The sequence below is a fragment of the Homo sapiens genome, chromosome 15 (assembly GCF_000001405.40).
Source record: "Homo sapiens chromosome 15, GRCh38.p14 Primary Assembly".
Classification (NCBI taxonomy): domain Eukaryota; kingdom Metazoa; phylum Chordata; class Mammalia; order Primates; family Hominidae; genus Homo; species Homo sapiens.
Window position 1 is genome coordinate 94,012,662 of NC_000015.10, and position 24,598 is coordinate 94,037,259.

At 41.8% G+C, this 24,598-nt stretch overlaps 1 long non-coding RNA gene and 1 pseudogene across 1 annotated transcript in view, besides 1 other annotated feature; one reads left to right on the plus strand and one right to left on the minus strand.

Moving 5' to 3' along the window:
* Positions 1-24,598, minus strand: part of LINC01581 (long intergenic non-protein coding RNA 1581) — a 202,536-nt gene that overhangs the window by 107,259 nt on the left and 70,679 nt on the right. The window lies entirely within an intron of this gene.
* Positions 13,879-14,173: a silencer, noted in NCBI's record as "tiled region #6915; HepG2 Repressive non-DNase unmatched - State 22:ReprW, and K562 Repressive non-DNase unmatched - State 24:Quies". NCBI's record gives its function as "represses a minimal TATA promoter and a strong SV40 promoter by Sharpr-MPRA in HepG2 and K562 cells {active_cell/tissue: HepG2 | K562}" and the evidence as "EXISTENCE:reporter gene assay evidence [ECO:0000049][PMID:27701403]".
* LOC105371032 (polyadenylate-binding protein 4-like) lies at positions 15,840-21,611 on the plus strand (annotated as a pseudogene).

Genomic DNA, 24,598 nt, shown 5'->3' on the forward strand with positions numbered 1-24,598 from the left:
ACCTCATGGAACATTGCATTGGCTGAATCTTCCAGAACAATGTTAATTCATATTATAGTGGTAAGAATTAACACCCTTGTCATAAGAAAAATGAGTCTTAAAGCATGCTGGCAGGGAGGGGAAGAGGATTGACAGTGAAATTGGCTATTAAATAGCTTCTTGGAAATTCACCTTTGAAATTCAAATTCATTCTATAATTAGCATATAAAAACCTCTGAGCTGCTCTGCAAATAAGAATTTTTTGTTTTTGTTTTTCCTTTTTGAGATGGAGTCTCTCTGTCGCCCAGGCTAGAGTGTAATGTTGTGATCTCTGCTCACTGCAACCTTTGCCTCCCCGATTCAAGCAATTCCCCTTCCTCAGTGTCCCGAGTAGCTGGGATTACAGGTGCCCACCACCACGCCTAGATAATTTTTGTATTTTTAGTAGAGACGGGGTTTCACCATGTTGGCCAGGCTGGTCTTGAACTCCTAACCCCAGGTGATCCACCCGCTTCGGCCTCCCAAAGTGCTGGGATTATAGACTTGAACCTTTGTTTTCTTTTGACCTGTTACTTAACATGCTTTAAACACTGTTACCTAAACTCAGTTTTCCAAATAAGCATCAAACTTTATTTGGTGCTTTTTTACATTCCAAATAGTATGTTCTTTATCATATTAGAATCAATCATCTTCGTTTTTATTTTTAAATATATATATTTTAAAAAATGATGTGAATTGCTGGGTGCAGTGGCTCATGCATTTATTTAATATTTTTGCATTTATAATCATATGTAAAATCAGACTTTATATTTAATTTTAGGGGACTTTTGAAGTTTTTGGTAGAGAGTTTTACAATGTTTACAGATGAAAGGGGAAGCATTTCACCTCTGCTGTACAATGGACCAGTTTATGTGAAGGAGAACTAACATGTATGCCTAGGAATTCGCACACGTGTGTACACACATGACATGCAGAAGACGCATCTGGGTTTGGATCCTCATGTGGATCCTCATCCTTCAAATGGGTCCTTAACCTCTTCCTTTGGTTAGTGTGGTGCTCTCCCTACTTAAGCCGAAGTGCATATTGGGAGACATTCCCTTTACAATTTCAACAGACTGGCAGATATTTAGTCGGTATTCTTCTTCTGGCCTACAAAATAAGAATCAGTAAGTACTACTGCTTAGCCCTCTTACTATATCAATTTATTCATGCTTTAATTTTAATTTTAATTTTTTTTTTTTGAGACGGAGTCTCGCTCTGTCCCCCAGGCTGGAGTGCAGTGGCGCCATCTCGGCTCACTGCAAGCTCTGCCTCCCGGGTTCACGCCATTCTCCTGCCTCAGCCTCCCGAGTAGCTGGGACTACAGGCACACGCTACCACGCCCGGCTAATTTTTTGTATTTTTAGTAGAGATGGGGTCTCAATCTCCTGACCTCGTGATCTGCCTGCCTTGGCCTCCCAAGGTGCTGGGATTACAGGCGTGAGCCACCGCACCCAGCTTCTTCATGCCTTTTTTTTTTTTTTTTTTTAACATTTTAATCTGTTTTTATCCTCCTGCTGAAAAGGTGTACGAAGAATAACATCTGAAATGAGACTTTACAAAATCTGTTCTTCCAGCGCCAGTCTCTTTCTTACTTTATATCCAAGGATATCATTCCTAACTTCTTCCTGTTTTGTTTGTTTTACATATCTTGGAACTTTGATCTCCATATGGATATCAAGACAAAAATATAAGTTGGGGTGGGGAAGGAAAGAAATCCTAAATTAGATACTTCAGAAAACAAGTTCTTACTTAGGCTTATCTCTACTCCCTCCTGAAAGCCCATTAGATGCCAACAGATCGGCTTTGGATGGCTAGCAACTGCCTGGACAAAGCGGAGAAAGTTCCTCAGTACATGCAAGGAGGAATGCCAAAACATTACATGCCTGTTCATGGTACAGAACCTTGGAGAGGTCCTGAATTTGAGGTGCCACTTAAGGAAGGTGTGGGATTGACCTGACACAAGAAAACTGATGGAAGTGTATATAAGGATCAGCGAGATTTTCCATTTTCCTTCACAGCCCATGGAATGAGATGGTTACTCCTCTTCTTCCCTGTATAAGATACGACGCTTTCTGTATCAAGAGTTTTAACCCAGGAGGCTCTAGACACAGCAGTATCAGGCACAAGTGAAGGTGGCCAAGGGGTTGAGAGGGGAAAAGGGGAGGGGTGTGTGGAGGGCTCCAGAATTTAAAAAAAAAAAAGAAAAGAAGAAGAAAAATTAACAAAATTTTACCTATTGAATCCAACTGCTATCCTCCTGCTCTGCTCCCAGGATGCCAGCAAGAGCAGCACATACTTCAAATAAGACAGTATGGGCTTTATTCTTTGTTAGAGCAAAACTCAAAAAGCCAAAACAAACCAAAGAAAACTCTGGACAAGTTAAATTTAACAGAATTGGCCAGGCCCGGTGGCTCACACTTGTAGTCTCAGCACTTTGGGAGGCCGAGGTGGGCGGATCACTTGAGGTCAGAAGTTCGAGACCAGCCTGGCCAACATGGTGAAACCCTGTCTCCACTAAAAATACAAAAATTAGCCAGATGTGGTGGTGCGTGCCTGTAATCCCAGCTCCTCAGGATGCTGAGGCAGGAGAATCTCTGGAATCTGGGAGGTGGAGGTTGCAGTGAGCTAAGATCACACCACTGCACTCCAGCCTGGGTGACAGAGCGAGACTTCGTCTCAAAAATAAATAAATAAGTAAATAAAATAACATAAAAATTAACAGAGTCGATTTGAGCAAAGAACTGTTTATGAATCAGGCAGTACTCAGAACCAGAACCGGAAGTGGTTCAGAGAGCTTCATGCTTCATTTCACAACATGAATGGTATTTATAGACTGAAAATGGAAGTGTTATACAGAAATAGTTTTATGGGTTACAGCTAGGCATTTGTCTTCCTTGGACATGGTTTGATCAGTTGACAGCCCGTGACTGGCTTAAACTTGGCTGCTTGTAGTTGGCTGAGACCCTACTATGTGTTACAAGAAATACATAGTTAGATCTTGGTTCATTTGTCTGCTGGCTTTGGTTGCAGTTCATTAAGTAGAAACTCAAGGTGTGGGGACTGCCTCAGGCCAATGGCATCTTACTTTAAAGGTGTTAAATTTACTTGTTAAATATGTTTACTTGTTAAATAAATTTAACACCTTTCTAAAGAAACATACTGTGTCAAAGAAAAAAGACCTATTGATGTTGACATATGGGGTCCTGTCATGAAAATGATGAAAAGAAAATTATAAAATAAATTACATAGAACACATTTTAGAACTGAAGATCATGACTGTCCAGATTGAAAAGGCCCACTGAGCATCCAATGTCATAAGTGAAAAATGACTGTCAGGTCATATCCTTATAAAATTTCAGAACAATGAAGATGATTTTCCTAATCTTAAATGTTTTAAGATATATAGAGAGAAGAGTCACATATAAAGGGTGGGAATCAGAAGGTCTACCAACTTCTCAAGGCAACACTGTAAGCTTAAAGAGAATAGAGCAATGCCTTCAAAACCCTGGGGAAAATGTTTCCCCCAAAATGTAATCTTTTCAAAATTTTAATCACTGATGGATATCATCGATCATTACAAAAATGCAAGTCAAAAATCACAACGAAATTCCATCTCATACCAGTCAGAATGGCTATTACTAAAAAGTCAAAAAATAACAGATGCTAGTGAGGTTGCGGAGAAAAGGGAAATCTTGTTCACTGTTAGTGGAAGTGTGAATTAGTTCAACCATTGTGGGAAGCACTATGGCGATTCCTCAAAGAGCTAAAAGCAGAACTACCATTAAACCCAGCAGTCCCATTACTGGGTATATACCCAGAGGAATATAAGTCATTTTACCATTAATACACATACAGGCAAATGTTCATTGCCACATATTCACAATAACAAAGACATGGAATCAACCTAAATGCCCATTTAGACGGATTGGATAAAGGAAATGTGGTACATATACACCACACCGTGGAATACTATGCAGCCATAAAAAATGAGATCATGCCTTTTGCAGGAACATGGATGGAGCGGGAAGCTATTATCCTTAGCAAATTAATGCAGGAGCAGAAAACCAAATGCCACACGTTCTCACTTATTAGTGGGAGCTAAATGATAACTTATACATGCAAAGAAGGACACAACAGACTCCGAGGTGGAGGAGGGTGGAAGGAGGGAGAAGAGCAGAAAAGGTAACTATTGGGTACTGGGCTTAATACCTAGGTGACAAAATAATCTGTACAACAAACCCCCGTGACATGAGTTTATCTATGTAACAAACCTTCACGTGTACCCCTGAAGCTAACGTAAAAGTTTAACATTTTTAATTAATATAAGAATAATAAAGACATATACAGACATATAACATCTGAAAAATTGATACCTATATGGCATTTCTTAGAATATACTTATTGATGTGTTCCACTAAAGTAAAGGAATAAAACTATAAAGAGAAAGATGTGGGACCAAGTGAATAATGATTCTATCACAGAATAGGTAAAGACATCTTCTGGCTGGGAGTGGTGGCTCATACCTGTAATCCCAGCACTTTGGGAGGCTGAGGAGGGTGGATCACGAGGTCAGGAGACGGAGACCATCCTGACCAACATGGTGAAACACCGTATCTACTAAAAATACAAAACTTAACTGGGCGTGGTGGCATGAGCTTGTAGTCCTAGCTACTCGGGAGGCTGAGGCAGGAGAATCACTTGAACCCAGGAGGTGGAGGTTGCCGTGAGCTGAGGTCATGCCACTGCACTCCAGCCTGGCAACAGAGTGAGACTCCATCTCAATAATAATAATAATAATTTAAATAACTTCATGTGCCTATTGACCACCACACTGGAAAATGTGCTCTAGATGATGGTAAAGGAAACTATCAAAATGATGGGAGAGGGAGGTTTCATGAATTACAAGGTACACAGCTATAGCTGATCATGTAGTCCCCCATCTCACATCCTTTTTTGCAATGCGGCTTTCCTATGACTCTGGGAAGAGGTGGGGCTTATTCCTTCTTCTCTTAGGTCTGGACTAGCTTTGTGACTGTTGTGAACAATAGAATTGAGTAGAAATTACATTCTGGGACTTTTGAGGTCCAAACATTGAGAAATCTGGTACCTTTGGCTTTTGAATACTGGAGAAAGCCAAACAGTTTAATAACCCTGAGATGGCTATTCTATGAGGAGGCCCAAGCTCACCACATGGAGCCACCTGAGGCCTGATGAGATGGAGGGAGTCTTGAGGTCTTGATACCCTAGTCAGAATTGCTCAGCTGAGCAACCTATGGAACCGTGAGAGATGATAGAATGGATGTTGTATAAAGCCGCTGAGTTTAGTGTTGTTCGTTACCCAGCCAGCCCAGATTGGAGCTGGAGGAGAGAGGGTTCTGGGAGTAACATGTATAAGATGGGCCTCATAGATTACCTGGTGTGTCTGACTTCCTGAGGATGTGTTGTACCTTGTCTATCAGAGTTTTTGTGGAAGAAGAATTGCTAACAACCACGTAACAAGCCAAGCAAACAAAAAATAAAAATCTCAGCTGGGCGCAGTGGCTCATGCCTGTAATCCCAGCACTTTGGGAGGCCGAGGCAGGCGAATCACCTGAGATCGGGAGTTCATGACTTGCCTGACCAACATGGTGAAACCCCATCTCTACTAAACATACAAAATTAGCCGGGCATGGTGGAGCATGCCTGTAATCCCAGCTACTCGGGAGGCTGAGGCAGGAGAACTGCTTGAACCCGGGAGGCGGAGGTTGCGGTGAGCCGAGATGGCGCCACTGCACTCCAGCCTGGGCAACAAGAGCAAAACTCCATCTCAAAAATAAAATAAATAAATAAACAAAAATCTCCAGAAAACCAAAGTTTTGTGCAAGAAAATAAATATAATCCTAGCACACTGCAGAATTTAGTTCGTGAACATTAGGTAGCATGTACAATCATAATGCAAACAGAATTCTCCTATTGAGAGTCTGGAAATGATGGAAGAGAGGAAGAAGATGTATCTCTTCTTCCCCCCACTCTGGAGGTGGGGAGAATGTAAGAGCAATTAAATATTCATCGTCTTTAGTGGAAGACAATAGATAATCTCTCTAAATGAAAATATCAAACATGTTGGTTATATACCAGTAGAAAAATCGAAAGAATTGTATGTGTTTGCTACTGAGGAACATGAATTTGGGGTCTAGATGAGTGAAATAAATACTGCATGTTTTTCATACAGGATTATTTCACATATTGGAAGATAAATACATATTTTGAGATATTACTTTTTTTTTTTTGAGACAGAGTTTCGCTCTTATTGCCCAGGCTGGAGTGCAATGGCACAATCTCGGCTCACTGCAACCTCTGCCTCCTGGCTTCAAGTGATTCTCCAAGCGATTCTCCTGCCTCAGCTTCCCGGGTAGCTGGGATTACAGGCGCCCACTACCACGCCCGGCTAATTTTTGTATTTTCAGTAGAGACGGGGTTTCACTATGTTGGCCAGGCTGGTCTTGACCTCCAGACCTCAAGCAGTCTGCCCGCCTCAGCCTCCCAAAGTGCGGAGATTACAGGCGTGAGTCACTGGGCCTGGCCCGGGCCCGAGATACTAACTTTTAAAAAAGATCAAAGGAATTGAAGTAACTCCAGTTGTCAGAACCTGGTTAAAAGCCTCCCCTGGTTAGGCCATCCTAGCCAAGGATGAGAAAGTCTTCCCACAGGGAGACAGCCCACAGTCAGTAGTCTCGGCTTTAATTTTGCCATTTCTGCACCTCCTCTTGTGCACTTATACACATTTTAGTGGGGAAATAAGAGAGGGCAAGTCCGCAGGTGTTAGTTGGTAAACTTTACTGCCCTAAAACCCCAAACTCTTTTTTCATGCGGTCTCCTCTGACCCAGATCGTCTTCAAATATCGAACGCTGAATTGGGCCGGGCGCGGTGGCTCCCACCTGTCATCCCAGCACTTTGGGAGGCCGAGGCGGGCGGATTATGAGGTCAGGAGATCGAGACCATCCTGGCTAACACGGTGAAACCCCGTCTCTACTAAAAATACAAAAAAAAAAAATTAGCCGGGCGTGATGGCGGGCACCTGTAGTCCCAGCTACTCGGGAGGCTGAGGCAGGAGAATGGCGTGAACCCGGGAGGCGGAGCTGGCAGTGAGCCGAGATTGTGCCACTGCACTCCAGCCTGGGGGACAGTGAGACTCCGTCTCAAAAACAACAACAACAACAACAACAACAAAACACTGAATTAAGCTTCATAATTTACTTAGTTTTTAATTAATTTATTTATTTTTAGAGATGGAGCCTTGCTATGTTGCCCAGGCTGGAGAGCTATGGCTACTCACAGGCACAATTATGGTGCACTATGGCCTCAAACTGCTGGCCTCAAGTGATCCTCCTCCCTCAGCCTCCCTGAGCATCTGGACTACAGAGACACCACCACACTTGGCTTTTAACTTACATAGCTTCAATCACAAAGCCTAATAGGACCTGATTGTCATGAGCTTTTTGGAAAGAAGTTGAAATAGAGGATTGCGGAGGAGGGTATGATGTCTCACGGATTGCCCAGCAGATCCAAATTATGCTTCCCGGAGATGTGACTACTTTAGTATTTACCAAAGGGCATTGATACTCTGATTGGTCTTTTCATATGGGTGGAGAACTAGAACAGACTCCTCCAGGCTAGTTGTGTTTAAGCAGGAGTTGAAGGCAGCAGGGAAGTCCTCTTTGAAATAGGATTGCAATCTGAGGCTGGTAATTCAGGTCATTGGCACGGAGCAGGGAGAAGGAAGTCAGTATCTTTTGTGAAAAAGAAACAGCTGAAGTGGGGCTGCATAATAATGTCTCATCAAGAAGACCTTGGTTCAGGGTCCTTCACTATGATGAGCATGAAAACTGAAATTCTAATCTGGAATTGAAGAGGAATCCAACTATAAGAAGCTCTTTTTTTTTTTTTTTTTTTGAGATGGAGTTTCTCTCTTGTCTCCTGGGCTGGAGTGCAGTGGCGTGATCTCGGCTCACTGCAACCTCTGCCTCCCAGGTTCAAGCCATTCTCCTGCCTCAGCCTCCCAAGTAGCTGGGATTACAGGTGCACAGCACTACCACCCGGCTAATTTTTGTATTTTCAGTAGAGATGGGGTTTCACCATGCTGGCTAGGCTGGTCTCGAACTCCTGACCTCAGGTGATCCACCCACCTCAGCTCCCAAAGTGCTGGGATTACAGGCATGAGCCACTGCTCCTGGCCAATAAGCTCACTATTAATTCTTTCTTTTCTTCTCCATTAAATTGACTCCCATAGTCCTTCATATCCTTCCAGAAAGTCCTTTGATTTCTTTGACTCCCCGCCCCCCTATGATGGAGTAAGATGTCCCTCCTCTCCACCCCAACAGAGCTCTGTGCTTGTCCTTCTGCTAGCATTCACCCCACCCTCCACAGCTTCCTACTTGCTTGTCTCCATCTCCCACAAAATTTTTAAGTGCTCAGAGAGAACCGTTCATTGTTTCACCCTCAGGACCCAGCACAGAGAAATGTCTCAAATATATTTGTTAAACACAGGCAGTAAAATATGCACATGTATTTATATTCTTAGACAATGTATGCCCTTTATTGATGGATTCTCACGCTCTCAAGCCATTAGATATATCCATGTGGTTCCCAAATGTCATCATGCCTTTCCTAGCCTGGGATGCAAAATCCACAAGTCTGAGGCCGTTATGTTTTCTAAGACTCATCTAATTTTAAAATAAGCAATAAAACAAAACAATAGTCCTTATTTCCTTAAGCTAAGCCTTCTTACAATGGTATACTTTGCTTTTACTTGCAACCTCAACTATCTTAAAGAGGTGACCCAGAAAGACTACTCATGCTTCCCCCGGGGCTCTCTGAAAACTTCCTTTCTTAAAGCTATTTAGTGGGCATATGACCCAACCAAATGACCCTTTTTAATAGACATTCCCCCCACACCTGGCTTTTATTATGTCATAGGAGGTAAAGAGAAATCCCAAGACCCTTCCCCAAACCTAGAGAGCTGCTGGCCTTCAGAGCTGACCCCCTTCCTTCAGACTGTCCCTGCAGCGGTTCTGCAAAATCACACTCACAGCACACTGTGTATTGTGGGGTTGGCATAGATGTTTTGAAACTAGGCAGACCTTGTGCAGTGTTTAGTTTTTGGCAGAATTTATGTTTTTGGCTGGCTGCCACTGTGAAATGTGTTTAGTTTTAACTGACAGTCCTGGTCAACACTGCAGGTCATAGGTAAGTCTAGCTCATTCTGACTAGGTGAAGCCAGATCTGCTGCTTCCCAGTTTTCTTTTGGTTTTTTACTGTCTTGGTAAAGAAGAATTTCTAATAGACACATAGCAAAACATTTCTGTCCTTCTACCTGATCCTCTGTGATAAACTCTTCCTGCTCTGTGATGACATTCTTCTTCAGTGACCAGACATCCAGGGGTTGGGAGAAGCTACTCGGGAAGTTGCAAGAGTAGGGATTAGGCTGTACACTGGGAAGTAAGACTGTGGTGTGGTATGGAGCAGAAGGTTGCCGGGAGAAATCCTCAGGAGTGTAAAATGTGACATTTTCCTCCTTAAACCTGGGCTGGAGCAGTGTCAGGAGCAATCTGGCAGGATGCTGAAGAGCAGTGAGAGGAGGACGGGAGTACCGCCAACCTGACATGAGACCTTGATGTTGGGGCACCAGGGTCATTGAGACACAAGGAGTCTCTGTTTCATTTTTCTCCCCCCAGAGGGATTTGCACCCAACCATCTTGTGACTGCTTTTTTAATTCAGTTCAGTGAAAATGACCGTGCTTTTTCCTACTATCTCAACCAAAATTTGTATCCATGCCAGGCTGGGAAAGCATATACTTCCTGAATGAAAAGTGTGATCCAACCATTATGAGCCCCAGAGGGTCTTTGTGGGATTAGTCACTGAGTTGCAGTATGGCAGAGGTGTGGGGTCAATACCATTTCCACTGTGATATGACAATGACATTGAGGACTTGTCAAAGTCAAAGATCACCCACCGAGTTTGTAAATATGATTTAAAAGCTGAGAGAAATGATGACCATATGACAATTAGCAATAATCACTTGAGAATCTTCAGTATTCGGGATGCATTTATTTTCTTTTTAAAAAAGAAGGTAAATAATATCATGACATTATAAGTTCCATGAAGGAGGGAGTTTCATCTATGAATTTTTTATTGTTCACTGCTAAATGGTAGGTTTAGCCTGACACATAGTGGCTACACATACTCAAGAAATATACATCAAATGGATAAATGAATGAATGAATGAATGAAAAGTGTGTTTTTAGAGAGCACTTAAAATGAGAAAGTTTAACATTCACGGTGTGTCTAATAAAACCTGAATTGAATTGTAGCAAACATAATCCTGGCTGACATGAGAAATTTTACCAGATGCATATTATTTTATTTTGGGGGTTATGATTTACACATTAGTGTTGTATTAAAATGTAATATGAAGAAACATACAGAATTTAAATATGTTAATTCAAACTCAAATTATATGTATACACACATATACACAAGCATACATTACACATATATGTGATATATGAATTTTTTCCTTTTCATAATTAAGAAATGCCAAGCAATACTATTAAGAGACAATTTTGGATGTAAAATTCCCTAAAGCTATCCAATACAGAAGCAAAGGGTGAAACGGAGCTGCAGACTCAAATGGCTTGGCTCTGTATTTCAGGGGCAAATGAGGCTACATATTTAGAAGGAACTGTACCTGTATTAATTTTTTTCTCCATCCTGCTGGGCCTTTGTGGATTTTGCTCATGACTTCTGTTAACATGTGCTGGGCCAATAATGTTATAGATCATAGGACACATCCCCCATATTGTGGGGAATTTGCATCCCATGCTTTAATTACCCTTTGGTTTCTGAAGAGGTAAGGGCTGAATCCAGCAGTCCTTTCCTAACAGGCCTGTGGTTCAGGCCTGGCTTGGAAAGGGCCCCAGGGGCTGGCAGGCACTCCAGGCAAATTTTCCAGCAGCAGCACGGCCCCATTTGCCTCCTTCAACAGGTCTTCAGTTGGCTGTATTAGTTCATCGGCTTCAGACTTTGAATTGGCACAAATGCATTGTGTGGATGGGGCAGTCGCATTGACTGGCCTGGAACTAATTAAAAACTGGAATATTTTAGATCACTAGGAAGAGAGCATGGCCAGATTTGCAGGGATGGTGCAAGTGAACTGAAAGAGCAAATTAACCCAGCCCCTTGAGAAAGATTCCTGCTGCCCGACCTTAGGTAGCCTCAGCTGGGCTTGGGCATATCCCGGTGTGAGATGACCCCTGCAAACCTGACAGGTACTCAACCATCTCAGCTGCTTAGGAAACATTCTTTTTTTTTTTTTTTTCCTAAATATTCCTAGTGGCACCATGTTTTATGAAAAAGAGCAAGTTTGCCAAGCTTGTTAGCTTCAGGGAAAAGACATATCCAAGTGAGTGAAGGACTGTGAAGGGCATTTATAATGAGGGAAATTTACTGCCTGGTTGAGCGTCAGGGGCTGTGTTCTGAGGACTGGACTTCAGGCACACCCAGTGACCTCCCGCCACAGTGGGACACCATCCAGAGGACTTCCTTCTGACCTTTCCCCTCAGGCACGTCCTAAGGCACCTTGCTTGTCCTCTTTGTCACCACTTGCTATTTTGCATTCTGTCTGAACTATAAGAAACACACACTCACCTTGGCTAAGATGGAGTGTTGTCTTGCTGAGGACTTCACCATGGCTCGCCCGTAACTGCTGTCTCGCTCCAGGTTTGGGGAACACTTTAAGCTTGTTTTCAGCCTTAACAGTCTTAGCTCAGAGCCAAGAGTTGTGAATCCAAAAAATATCCATTGCTAGTTTTTGGTGTTTTGTTTTTATTTTTGTATTTTTTGATACCTACAATTTATTGGGCTGGTATGTATGTGCCCAGCACTGGGCTAAATTATGGAAGACACTAGTCCATTTAATCAACACAACAACAAAAAAGTAAAGAAATTAATATTGTTATTCAGCTTTTTATTTTAATTTTTAAAGTTGTGGTAAAGTAAACATAACATAATATTTACCATCTCAGCTATTCTTAGGTGTGCAGTTCAGTGGCATTAAGTACAATCACATGGTTGTACAAACATCACCTCCAACCATCTCCATAACTCTTTTTGTCTTGCAAACTTGATACCCATTAAACAACTTCCCACTCTTCCCTCCCACCAGATCATGACAACCACCATTCTACTTTCTATCTCTATGAATTTTCTTTTTCACTATTTTTTTTGACAGCGTTTCGCTCTGCCACCCAGGCTGGAGTGCAGTGGCACAATCTTGGCTCACTGCAACCTCCATCTCCCGGGTTTAAGAGATTCTCCTGCCTCAGCCTCCTGAGTAGCTGGGATTACAGATGTGCACCACCACGCCTGGCTAATTTTTGTATTTTTAGTAGAGACGGGGCTTCACCATATTGGCCAGGCTGGTCTCAAACTCCTGACCTCGTGATCCACCCGCCTCGGCCTCCCAAAGTGTTGGGATTACAGGCGTGAGCCACCGTGCTTGGCCGTCTCTATGAATTTGATTACACTAGATACCTCACGTAGAAGGGATCATCAAGTGTTAGTCCTTTTATAACTGGTTTATTTCACTTAGCATAATGTCCTCCAGGTTCATCAATGTTGTAGCATATGTCAGAATTTTCTTTTTTAAGGCAGAATAATATTTCATTGTATATATGCCATATTTTGTCTATCCAATCATTTCTCCATAGACATTTGGGTTGCTTCCCTCTTTAGGCTATTGTGAATAATGCTGCTGTGAACATCGGTGTGCAAATATCTCTTTGGGACCATTATTCTCTTTTATATGTCAGGGATCCGAGGTACAGAGAGGTGCTTACCACGGGTCATGCAGTAGTTAAGGGATAGAACTAGGATTTATATGCAAGGACCTGTCACTCCAGAATGTATTGTTTTCATTTCTGTCTTCTCCAACCTGTATAAAGGACAGATGTCCGTCCCACAGTGATAGGCTGTATATTATGAAACTGAAGCATGAGCTAAGTGAACACCAAGAAGTTTTACATGAATTAAATCTTCATCATCTTCCTAATGACTTTTCTAAACTTGATCTTTGATGCTAAATTATACCACATTATTCCAAAATGTCAGGATTAGATAAGTACAATAATAATTTTAATCATAAAAGAAATTCATTTTTTGGTGTTTCCAAATAACCAGTCATGATTTGGAGGTAACTCCTAGAACAGTGTAAGTCATTGTTCTGGCTTGATAAATGTATTGATTCTTACCAAAAATAATGAAAAGCTTCAGCCATTTCATTCTACTGTGGACTAACCCCAAACATTATGATGATAGTTACTTGGTACTAGCACTGCAATAGATCTTTTATACATTTTATTCTACCAAATCATATAAATGCTCCCATTTTACAGATGAGAAATCCAAAATTAAAAATAAAACATTATAGTTCAATCTGCCTGATCCCAGTATCCAGGTTCTTTCTGCTACCTTTTACATCCCGGGTACTGCTTGCCTTGCGTCATGCAGTTGAACATCAGTGAATCAGATGCAAACAAAATATTTGTACATAAGCTGCTGTGAATTATAGATATATGGCTTTTGGGAAGAACTGGAATGATCGCTGAACATGAACAATTTGTAAAAGTCTTTGAAGGACAGAGGCTTATGTAAATGGATTAGGGAATAGCCTTTTGACAAGGACAATACATATTTCATGTCTAGTAAAATGCTGTACCTGCCACCATATCCTGCAAGTCCTGGCAGCTGCTTCTAACAACCCAGCTTTCATGAAGGATCTGGTCTGGGGAGCGTGTTCAGCAATCCTCTGCTCAAGCTGCCTGGCTCCTTTTCAAAATGTTTCCTATGTCTCAGCCTCCAACTCAACTCTTCATCCTGGAAAAGTCTGTGTCTCATTCCAGCTCAGTGCTGTGATTTATTTTTGGCGGGCAAAGGGAAGAATTAGTCATACCTACTCTTCTGTTTGAGTCTAATGGGAGCATTGTGACTGGTGGTAAAGATGGTGGTTTATCAGCCTGGTGATTTGTAGAGTTTATGGCATGGGCCCCCTTGTTCCTCTGAATTTCCTTTCCCCTGTGAGTCACTCTGCAATAATAATGAAGAGGTGAGGTCCAAAGTTTGACAGTGGACCTCCTTGTACTCAGCTTTCAGCATTGCAATAATTCCATATTGTCAGAGAAAAGATGATGTCATCTCCTTAACAGTTGAAAACAAAGGGGGACAAATAAAAATGACCAGGCCACCCAAAGAACTGCCAATCAATACTATTGACAATGGAAGAGGAAGGCATTCTTTCAATCATAAAGTATGACTGAGCTAAGCAGTATTGACCTTGGGGTAAGGCATTTCTTAGGATTTAATGAATGGCTAGGAAGCTGATGGACCTTTAGTCAAACTGGTTATTAACTGCCTGAAAGTGTCTGACCCTGGAAACCATAATTGCTGCTACAAATGCAAGCACATAAGAGAGCCCAAGTCTGGCTTAGACAATGTGCTGTTGTAAGCAAGTCCCAATGCTGAACCATAAGACTGACCTTTACAGATTTGCCTGGGCATCCCCCACCACAGAACTGCATACCATTCTCAAAGGACATAATTTCATGAAGACCCAATGCTAGAAATAAGTTCTAGAAATAAAAAAGGATAGCATTTGCCCGTCTCACAGAATAGAATATTATACACTCTAGTAGAACAATTCACCTCAAAGCTGATAGACTGAACTGATATTGCTATGATTATAGCGGCCAGCGCTGTCCATCAGAAATATAAGGTGAGCCACGTATGTAATTTACAATTTGCTACTAGCCACATTACAAGAGTGATTGCATTTTAATAACATAATTAACCCAGTAGATACAAAATACTGTCATTTCTACATGATAGTATTTTTTACATGTACTCAGTAAAAAAATTATTCACGAGATACTGCTTTTATTTTTTACACAAAGATTTTATATTCCAGTATGTATTTCACACTTACACCACATCTCAATTCAGACTAGCCACACTTCAAGTGCCCAAGAGCCATATGTGGTTAGTGGCTATCATTGTGGACATTGCAGGCATAGAAAATTGTTTTGGAATTAGTAATGCATTAGAATGTTCAGCTGGATAAGATGGCCCAAATAATAGGGTGCCATTTCCCCAGTATGATCAGCAAAGAGCTAACTTAGGCAAAAATGCTAAATAAATGTGAATTATCTATGTTAGAAGAGAGAGAGGAATTCATAAATGGTATTTGAGTTTAGAAAGAGTTTTCACAGACAATGACTAACTTTTGCCGTTTTCTCTGATACTGCACTGATTTAGCTTTGCTTGGAGACATGTTTCTGGATTTTTAGGAGTCAGGAGACTCTGGAATGGAGTTGCAAGGGAAGCAATATAGCATAGTGGAGATATTCTTGAGAAACAGCCTGGGTTTCAGGAACAGGTAAAGCTATCCCTGCCACTTTCCACTTGGTGACATAGGGCAAACTACTTTACTTTGAGGAGCTAAGTCTTCTGGTTGCTAACGTGTGGATGATATCTTCACCTCCTTTCTGTTGTTGCTGTTGTGGGACTGAATGTGATAATGTTGACAAGTGTGCATGCTGGTACCATCATCACCACCTGCAGTAGCATCAGAAAGCAACAGAAAAGTTGTCCACTAATATGACTCTGCAACCAGGTCCCCAGAACACCAGACTTGCCCAGGCACTCCTCAGGGAGTAGATGGGACGATTGTATTAAGAGGCATAATAGTTCAGTTGCCAGAAGGCAAGCCAAATTAGTGTCACAGCGATGGCAGTGTCTGGAGGAATGTGGCTGCTAATGGAAACGGATGAATCTAAGAAAAGGGAAACCCAGTGGAGAAGTGGTGGGTATAGGATCAAGGATCCAGTAGATTCCTCATGAAGAATATGCAGGTTGAAAGCAGAAGTGGAGCAGAATTATCACTAAAAGGGCAGTCTCCTGAGCAGTGAGTCAAGAAGGAAAACCAGGGAGTCAAGAAGCGTTGACCTGCAGTTAGAGAATCAACCTTCGAAAAATCCGAAAGATAAATTGCATATTACTAAAGAGGAAGATCAAGTTTATTCCTCCTTCTTCTTTTATTTTATTTTTTTTATCATTACCTGAAACACAGCAAATTCTAAATAAATGTTTCATGAATGACTGACTGGCAGGCTGGCTCACTGGTGGAGGAAGCCTGTGATCAGAGCCTGAGTAGCCCAGCCAGTCTTGAAGGAGTTGCATCTTTACAGTGCACAGAGGTCACCCTGATTCAGGAGGAGCAGGCTTGTTATGCTCCTAGTGGTGAACAGGGGAAGAGAGGGAGAGAGGGTAAGAAGGGGTGGTGGGGTAGGACAGAGAGATGGAGAGAGATGAGGCCAATAGCTATCTTCGTTCTTCGAATCATCTGGGTCAGTAACGTGAAAGACAAAATTGGTTGGGCAAGAAGGCCCCACCTTCGGCCGGGCGTGGTGGCTCATGCCTGTAATCCCAGAACTTTGGAAGGCTGAGGCAGGTGGATCTTCTGAGGTCAGGAGTTTGAGACCACCCGGGCCAACATGGTGAAACCCTGCCTCTACTAAAAATACAAAAATTAGCTGGGCATGGTGGCACATGCCTGTAATCCCAGCTACTTGTGAGGCTGAGGCAGGAGAATTGCTTGAACCCAGGAGGCAGAGGTTGCAGTGAGCTGAGATTGTGCCACTGCACTCCAGCTTGGTGATGGAGCAAGACGCTGTCTCAGAAAAAAAAAAAAAAAAAGTAGACTGGCAGTGTTGAGGTAAGATTGCTATACAAACTATCACAAAAAGCATCAAGACTTCATTTCTTAATGTGGGGTAATCAGACCTCAGATCTAAACATAACTATGCCTGCAAGCAATTCTTGAGGGCCAGTTTCAAAAAGTCATCTCCTAAGAATTCCATGATGCTATCATGTACCCATGAAGATCAGGTTAGCCCTGCTCCTCGGCAGAAAGCATCTTTATGATGACAGTCTTGTGCATATTACAGCCAGTGAGCTTTTCTCCTGGGTGGCCTTTAGATAAACCCTGTGAAATTCTGGCTCCCTGAATTCCTTTTCTCATGTTTCAAGCTGAGCAGCCTTTTCTGTGTGTATAGAGTCTCTCCAAATAGTCAAAGGCCATTGGTTAGGTTTCTACTCACCCCATTCCAATCCTAGTCCTATCCCACCTTCCTGATTTCACAACCAAGATACCTTAATAAGTGTTTGAGGAGTTCCCAAACTCTTTGTCCTCATATTTGCAGAAAAGTTTCTGGTTCACTGCAGAAGTTAATTCACACATGCCAGTGTGGTTAATAGTTAGATTTCAAAAAATCAACTTTATTTTCTTATTCTTTTGGTCTTCAGCTTGCCTGTCTGAGCCACCAACTTGAGTAAAACGTTCTTTTACTGTGTGGTGTTGACTGCACTTTGGGTGGGATTGAAGAGCACAAAGTAAGACCAAGAATCATTTCCTCACTGTCCACATGTGAAACTTGCATTTTTTTTCACATGATTGCAAGCGCAGCAACAAAATCTACTGCTATTTGTGACTCTGAGAAAGTCAGTAAAAACTACTCACATTTAAAGGTCTCATTCAAGGTAGGTCAGCTCTACAGTACCGCTTCCCAGATGTGTCAGAAGTTTGGAGGTGTTGCTTGAAGCCTTCACTGAAGAATTGCTTCTGCCATCTAGGTTTGTTTTTAAATAACATGTGATTAGACTTGTTTCTATTTACAGGTCTCTACACACCTGGTTTATCAGCCCTGTGGTTCAAAGAGCATCCGTTTAAAGCCAGTAGACAAGACTGATGTCAAGTTATTGCTACTGGGAATTCTGTCTTTACATTTACTGTTAAATTCAAGATAACATCTAAGGATACAGATGAAAAACATAAATTGATGATGGCACTGAATAATGATGTTAATTATCATTTAACACGTGTATATTATGTTGCAGACACAATGCAGACACAAAGCGTTTACTCTTTTTCAGCTATTACCTCATTTGGGTTTCACAATAATCCTGTGAGAAATAATATCTCCATTTCACAGAAGAAAACATGAGGCTCAAATCGTTAAGATGCATTTCAGATTCATGCAGTTTATAAGTGGTGGAGCCCAGATACAAACAGAGGATTGATGAACTCCAGGGTTTAGGCTCTTACTAATACGTAAGAAGCAGGTACCAACCAGCACCGGCAGCCTAAACAGTTTCTGGAGGAATTTCAGGTTGGAGATAGATTAATACAAATGGATCTACACTGGCAGAGAGAATAGAAAAGTTTAAAAAAGTGTTTTTTTCTGTAAAAATATTAATGGCAAAATAGAAGACAACGTGATAAGGAGCAGTGAAAATCACAGAAGGAGAGCTGGGGGAGAGACAGCTATGGAGGATTTTGAGACCATCCAGAGAAGAAAACAATGACTCCCTGTGCTTATGAGAAGAGAGCTGGAGACACATCATGAACTTTTTCAAATGCTTCCAGCATACCATAGCTTACATTGTCACCAGAATGATTTAAGAGAAACCTATGTTAGAAGTCCTTTTGGTGGCAACTCCGTAATCTGCTCAGTGTCCAACAAGACTCTTTCCAGCCACCAAATAAACAATTCTAAGGCATAGCTCTGATGGTTAATTTTATGTCATAGGAAATTTATTTTAACCTGCTTTTATTTCATGGGTGCTTTCCAAGTTTTGCATGCTAACTACAAAGGGACAAATGTTTCCCATCAGGCCAGAAGGAGAAGAGATGGGCCATAAACAGAATCTAGACTAAAAATACAAAAACCATTTCTTGAAATAAAATATTTATAATTCACGCATTTGAAAAAACCCACACCCCTTTGCCTGGAGTCATTTCTGATAACGATTAAAGATCTTTTAAAAGGTATATTAGATTCCCCTTAGGCTGTATTTCATTTTTTTTGCCCACTTTCTTACAGAAGCCATTATTACCGGTATATCCTATCAGCAGCTTGTCTCAGCTCTACCGTGTGCCTTTTTTCTGTTATTTCGCTCTTTCTTTCTTTTCTTGTTTTACTAGAATTACTTTGCCATCACTGCATAGATTAGCTGCAAAGTCCCATTCAGCGACTAACCTATACGCATGCCTGGAAGTGTTACAAGTCAACATAACATGGGGTAACCACTGACCAATGAAGGAAAAGAACTGAGGGATAAATCCTCCCTCTTCTATGTAACTGGAGGGCGATTTTGAAGCGCACTTACTCTATTTGACTCATTGAAGTATGCCCAGTGGGATCCAGCCTCAGTTGCCTGTAGTCACAATCAACTTTGTAGCACTCTTGGACTGGCTTCCTCTTTTCCCATTTTCCTGCTTCTCCACTTTGAGTTCACTTCCCCCCAGTCCGCCGCCCCCCAACCACCACCAAAAAACTATTTGCACTCAGTGCTTGCCTCAAGCTTTGCTTTTTTGCTGAAACCTAGGCTAAGAAAATATTTTATCACTGAAGCACCCGACCTATTTAGTTTCTCTTTAAAGTGTTGCACATTGAATATTTTAAGTAATGTATTAAAACTTATCTTGATTGGAAATGTATTTAAAATACTTACTACCCTTTACATAAGTTCAGTTTTTTCAGGATATGATAAAACAGCTTTGGCAGTCACTAGTTTAACAAGAATGGCATGCAATTTTGGTCTGTAAATAGTTTTTTTTTTTTTCTTTTTGGTTTCTTGTTTTGTTTTGTTTTGTTTTTTATAGAGATGAGGTGTTGCTATGTTGCCCAGGCTGAGTTGTTGTTGTTGTTGTTTTGTTTTGTTTTGAGACAGTGTCTCACGGTCTACCAGGCTGGAGTGCAGTTTCACCATCATGGCTCACTGTGGCCTCCACCTCCCAGGCTCAAGCGATTTTCCTGCCTCAGCCTCTTGAGTAGCTGGGACTACAGGCATGCACCACTGTGCCCGGGTGATTTATGTATTTCTTGTCGAGACGGGTTTTCTCCATGTTGTCCCCACTGGTCTCAAACTCCTGAGCACAGGTGGTCTGCCCGCTTCAGCCTCCCAAAGTGCTGGGATTACAAGCATGAGCCACCACAGCTAGCCCCAGGCAGGCTTTAAACTCCTGAGCTCAACTGATCCTCCCGCCTCAGCCTTCTGAGTAGCTAGGAATATAGGGGTGTGCCAACTCATCTGGCTTGTACATAGTTTTATATTTATGTATTCATTATTTTGTAGATTATGAAATTTCTTAGTGGTAAGTGCAACATATTTACCACTTCTTAGGACGTAGTTTACTTTTGGAAGGTTCATACAATGTGACGTTTTAAAAATTAACCAAACTCGTCTAAATTTATTGATTTGACAGGTGACATCTCTTGAAATAGAGCACACGTAAAATCCATCAGGATACCTTAATGCACATTGTGTCACTTCTTTTCAAAACATTCCCAAGAAGCTCAAATAGAGTAGACCATTTTATTTCAAACTTTATTTTTCAAAAAGGCGGTAGGCAGTAGGTTGATATTGCACAATCCCCTGCCATCCCCTAGAGATTCTGAGTTAGCAGGTTAAAGATGAGTTCAGGAACATGCATCTTAAATCAACTTTTCTAGGAATTCTGAAGCAGATGACCCTTAGACAGCACTTTAGAAAATGCCATTTATAGAATCTTTGAATTTCAAAAACGAAAATCATCTTTCCACCAGTCATTCATTTTGTAGATTAGAACAATTATTCCAGCAGCACTCTTTCCTTTATTTGTTATTGTTGACCATATCATTTAGGCCACGACTAAGAAAACAAAAGTAACTCCAAGTATTCAAAGCAGGGGGAATTGGATTCAGCTTTCAGAGGTAGTGAAGGATCTCAGAAACAAATAGGGGGCGATGAGGCAACTCAGGAATTAGTAACATCAGGATGTCGCCACCATCCTAAGGCTGGAGTAGAGAAGGGATGATGTGGTGCTCCCATATCCCTGGCGCTGAGTTCATCCTAAAGAACTGTGGTCTTGCTTGGCTATGGACTTTGGTGGGGCTGGTGCCTCCCAGCTGCCAATCTGGAGGCGTTCCCACAGCTGGGCAGAATTTTGCGCCGCGCGCTGCTGTTGCTGCTGCTGCTCCCCAGGATGTTGCCCCCTACAAATACGCCTCCTGTGTCCGCAGCCCTCATCCTGCCATACAGCCTCAGCCGGCGCCCCAGCCTGCGGTCCGTGTGCAGGGGCGGGAGCCACTCACTGCCTCCATGTTGGCTGCAGCACCCCCGCACGGAACAGAAGCAGATGCTGGGAGAACGCGTGTTCCCACTCATCCAAACAATGCATTCAAACCTGGCTGGGAAGATCACGGGAATGCTGCTGGAGATCGACAACTCTGAGCTGCTGCACGTGTTAGAGTCCCCCGAGTCTCTCCGCTCCAAGGTGGATGAAGCTGTAGCAGTTCTACAGGCTCATCATGCCAAGAAAGAAGCTGCCCAGAAGGTGGGCGCTGTTGCTGCTGCTACCACTCAGACAAGGAAAAACCGATTCAAAAGCCAAATAACCCCTCATGGAATTCAGCTCAAGGCTTGAAGTCTTCCTAGCTTGTCCTATGGACCTCAACACCAAGAACTACAAATTGCAAATTTAATAGGTCATTTTGTATCAAAAGGTCAATTGTGAAGCGCCTAGAATTTTTCAATGATACGAATATGTTCTCTGGGTTCTGCTGTGGCCCAGACAGTGTTAACTTTTTTTTTTCTATTGTGGGTTTTGATTTTTTCCCCCCAGAAATTGGTTTCATTTGATTACCCAAGTCTTACGTTTCTCAATAAAGAAAAAAAATCTCCATTAAAAAAAAAAAAAGAAGAACTGTGGTCTGCACCGCAGGTAGCCATACAGTGGAGGGACAGCCTTGCTACTGGAGACCCGCCTGAACCAGTTAAAAGGGAAGAAAAATGCCCTGGCATCTCCTTCCTTTCTCATGCCAGTGCCTGCCATTGGCTGAATTCATCTAAAAGCCAGATGACAGGAGGTCTGGGAGATGCAGCCTGCAGATGTCCCCTCCTCCTAACCATCCGTGGCTCACTACAGAGCAGAGGAAAGGCAAGAAATAGTGAAAAAAGCAGGCCTAGGGGAACCACAGGCTCCTATTCCTTAATCCTTAGCACTGTACAAACTTATTCTAAAATTATAAGCATCCACCTTTCTCACGTTACACTGGGTATCCTTAGGAACCCAATCTCTAGCTGGGCACGGTGGCTCACACCTGTAATCCCAGCACTTTGGGAGGCTGAGGCGGGTGGATCACCTGAGGTCAGGAGTTCGAGACCAGCCTGGCCAACATGATGAAACCCTGTCTCTACTAAAAATACAAAAATTAGCTGGGCACGATGGCAGGCACCTGTAATCCCAGCTACTCGGGAAGCTGAGGCAGGAGAATGACTTGAACCCGGGAGGCAGAGGTTGCAGTGACCCGAGATTGCCCCATTGCACTCCAGCTTGGGTGACAGAGCAAGACTTCATCTTCATAAAAACAAACAAACAAAAAAACCTCTGAATCTCTATAGACCCCATGCAGCCCTACCAGTGCTAACTTGACTTAATCCAAATAGGACACACTTTGCTTGCTTTGCTTGGGTATGCCATTGTCTAAAACAGTTTCTTTGTTTTATTAATAATGAGTGGATATCATTATTAATATTAATTATTAATTACTTATAATAATTTATAATATGGATATTTTCCAGCATGTAAAATAACTCCTTGATATAACAATATATTGAGTAGAAACTTCCTGAAGAGAAGTTCCCTCAAAGTATATCTAATCCTAATACAATAATTATAAGAAAAACACTAATTCTAAGAATAAAATGGTATGAGGGTAAATAGAATTTTTAAAAACTAGGTTAAAAAAATCAAAGTTTTTTATTGCCATTAATATGCTAATATAGGTTATAAATCACCAAGAGGAAGATCCAATATACAATATTTTCAAAATTACATAACCATTCATTTAGTTGACAAATATTTATTGATCAACCATTCTATGCCTGAAATTCTTTGAGGTGCTAAAGATGCAACAATAAACAAAGTAGACAAAATCTTTGACCTCAGGGAGAGCAGATTCTAGTGGAAAAAGTCAAAAAATTAAACAAGTAAATATATAGTATTTACTTTTTCCCACAATGCTTATTTTCAAATTAATATTCAGTGATTATACTTTGAGTTACACTATATAATGCATGTAATTTTATTGTTAGTCTCCTTCCAGTCAGATCACATTCCAATCTCTTCCCCTACCCAGCATTATCTTTTTCATCTTTTTAATGTAGAAACGATGATAGTGGTTAAATGTGTAGGCTTTGGGATAAGGCCACCCTTCTTCAGGTCCTAGCTCTGTCCTTCCCTGTGTGTGTAACCCGTGAGCCTCATTCATTCATTCATTCTGCATACATTCATCACGCTGGCCCAGAGCTAGAAACCCAGGGCCCATCTGTGAACAGATGAAGAGCCTGACCTTAGGAAACTTATGTTTAGGACTCAACATCTTCAGTAGAAAATGAGGATATTCCTCACATTGGCCTCATCAGGTCATCATGATGATTAAATGACTTAACCCCTGGCATGCACTTGGAGCACTGCCTGGTGCATCCTAAGAGCTGACTAAAGGTTAGCATTTATTCATCCCGTTATGTCCACATTTAAAATCCTTCAATGGGTCACTTCTGCCTGTAGGGTAAATTCCAAATTGTTTAGTACAATAGACACAAGCCTTTCAGGATCTGGCTCCTGATTTTGCATCCTGTCTCATCCCCTGCACACTGGGCTCCCATCCTGTGTAATACTTTCATACCTTATGCCCAGAGAATTCTGTCCTCTCTGCATGGGGTCATCTCCTTCCCGAATGCCTTCTTTCCCTTCAAGAGTGAGCTCAATTACCCACTCTGTGAAGACTATTGTGTTGGCTCCTCTGTGCACGTCCATGACTCCACCTAGTCACACTGACCCTTTTGCCCACAGATCATTCGTACCTGACTCTCTTGGAGCTTCTCATATGTATTTTATTTAACTCACTAATATCTCACACCATGCCACATGTATTATGGTGACTAACAAGGGTGCATTAAACATGGTAAGATAGGCCTGTGAAACAAGAATCTTGGACCCCAGGGCTAGAAAGAAATGGTTAGGGTTAGGGAAGGAGATAAAACTGCTGCAGATGTAGAGGAACTTCCAATAAATAGTGATAGCATTGAGCTCACCTATTTACTTCCCATCCCTCCCAAATTCCCTCATAAATAATGGTAAAGATTCTTTAAAATATATGATAAACTTTTGTGCTAAAAACACACATGGATATTATTAGTGGCTCTGAAATTGTAAGCTATTTCTTAATAGTAGAAATTAGAAGAGGTTGAATGGGAGCACAACCAACATAGAAAAATCTAGAACTCCAAGTACCCACAGGCAAAGTCTGCTGCAGAGAGAAGTCCTGACAGAGGTCTGAGGAACACCCCACTGGGGTTAACAAATGCACACAGTAAATGAGGGCTGGAGGCAATCATCCAAGTTCAAGGTTAAAGCACTGTTTCCAGATCAGCTAGGTAAG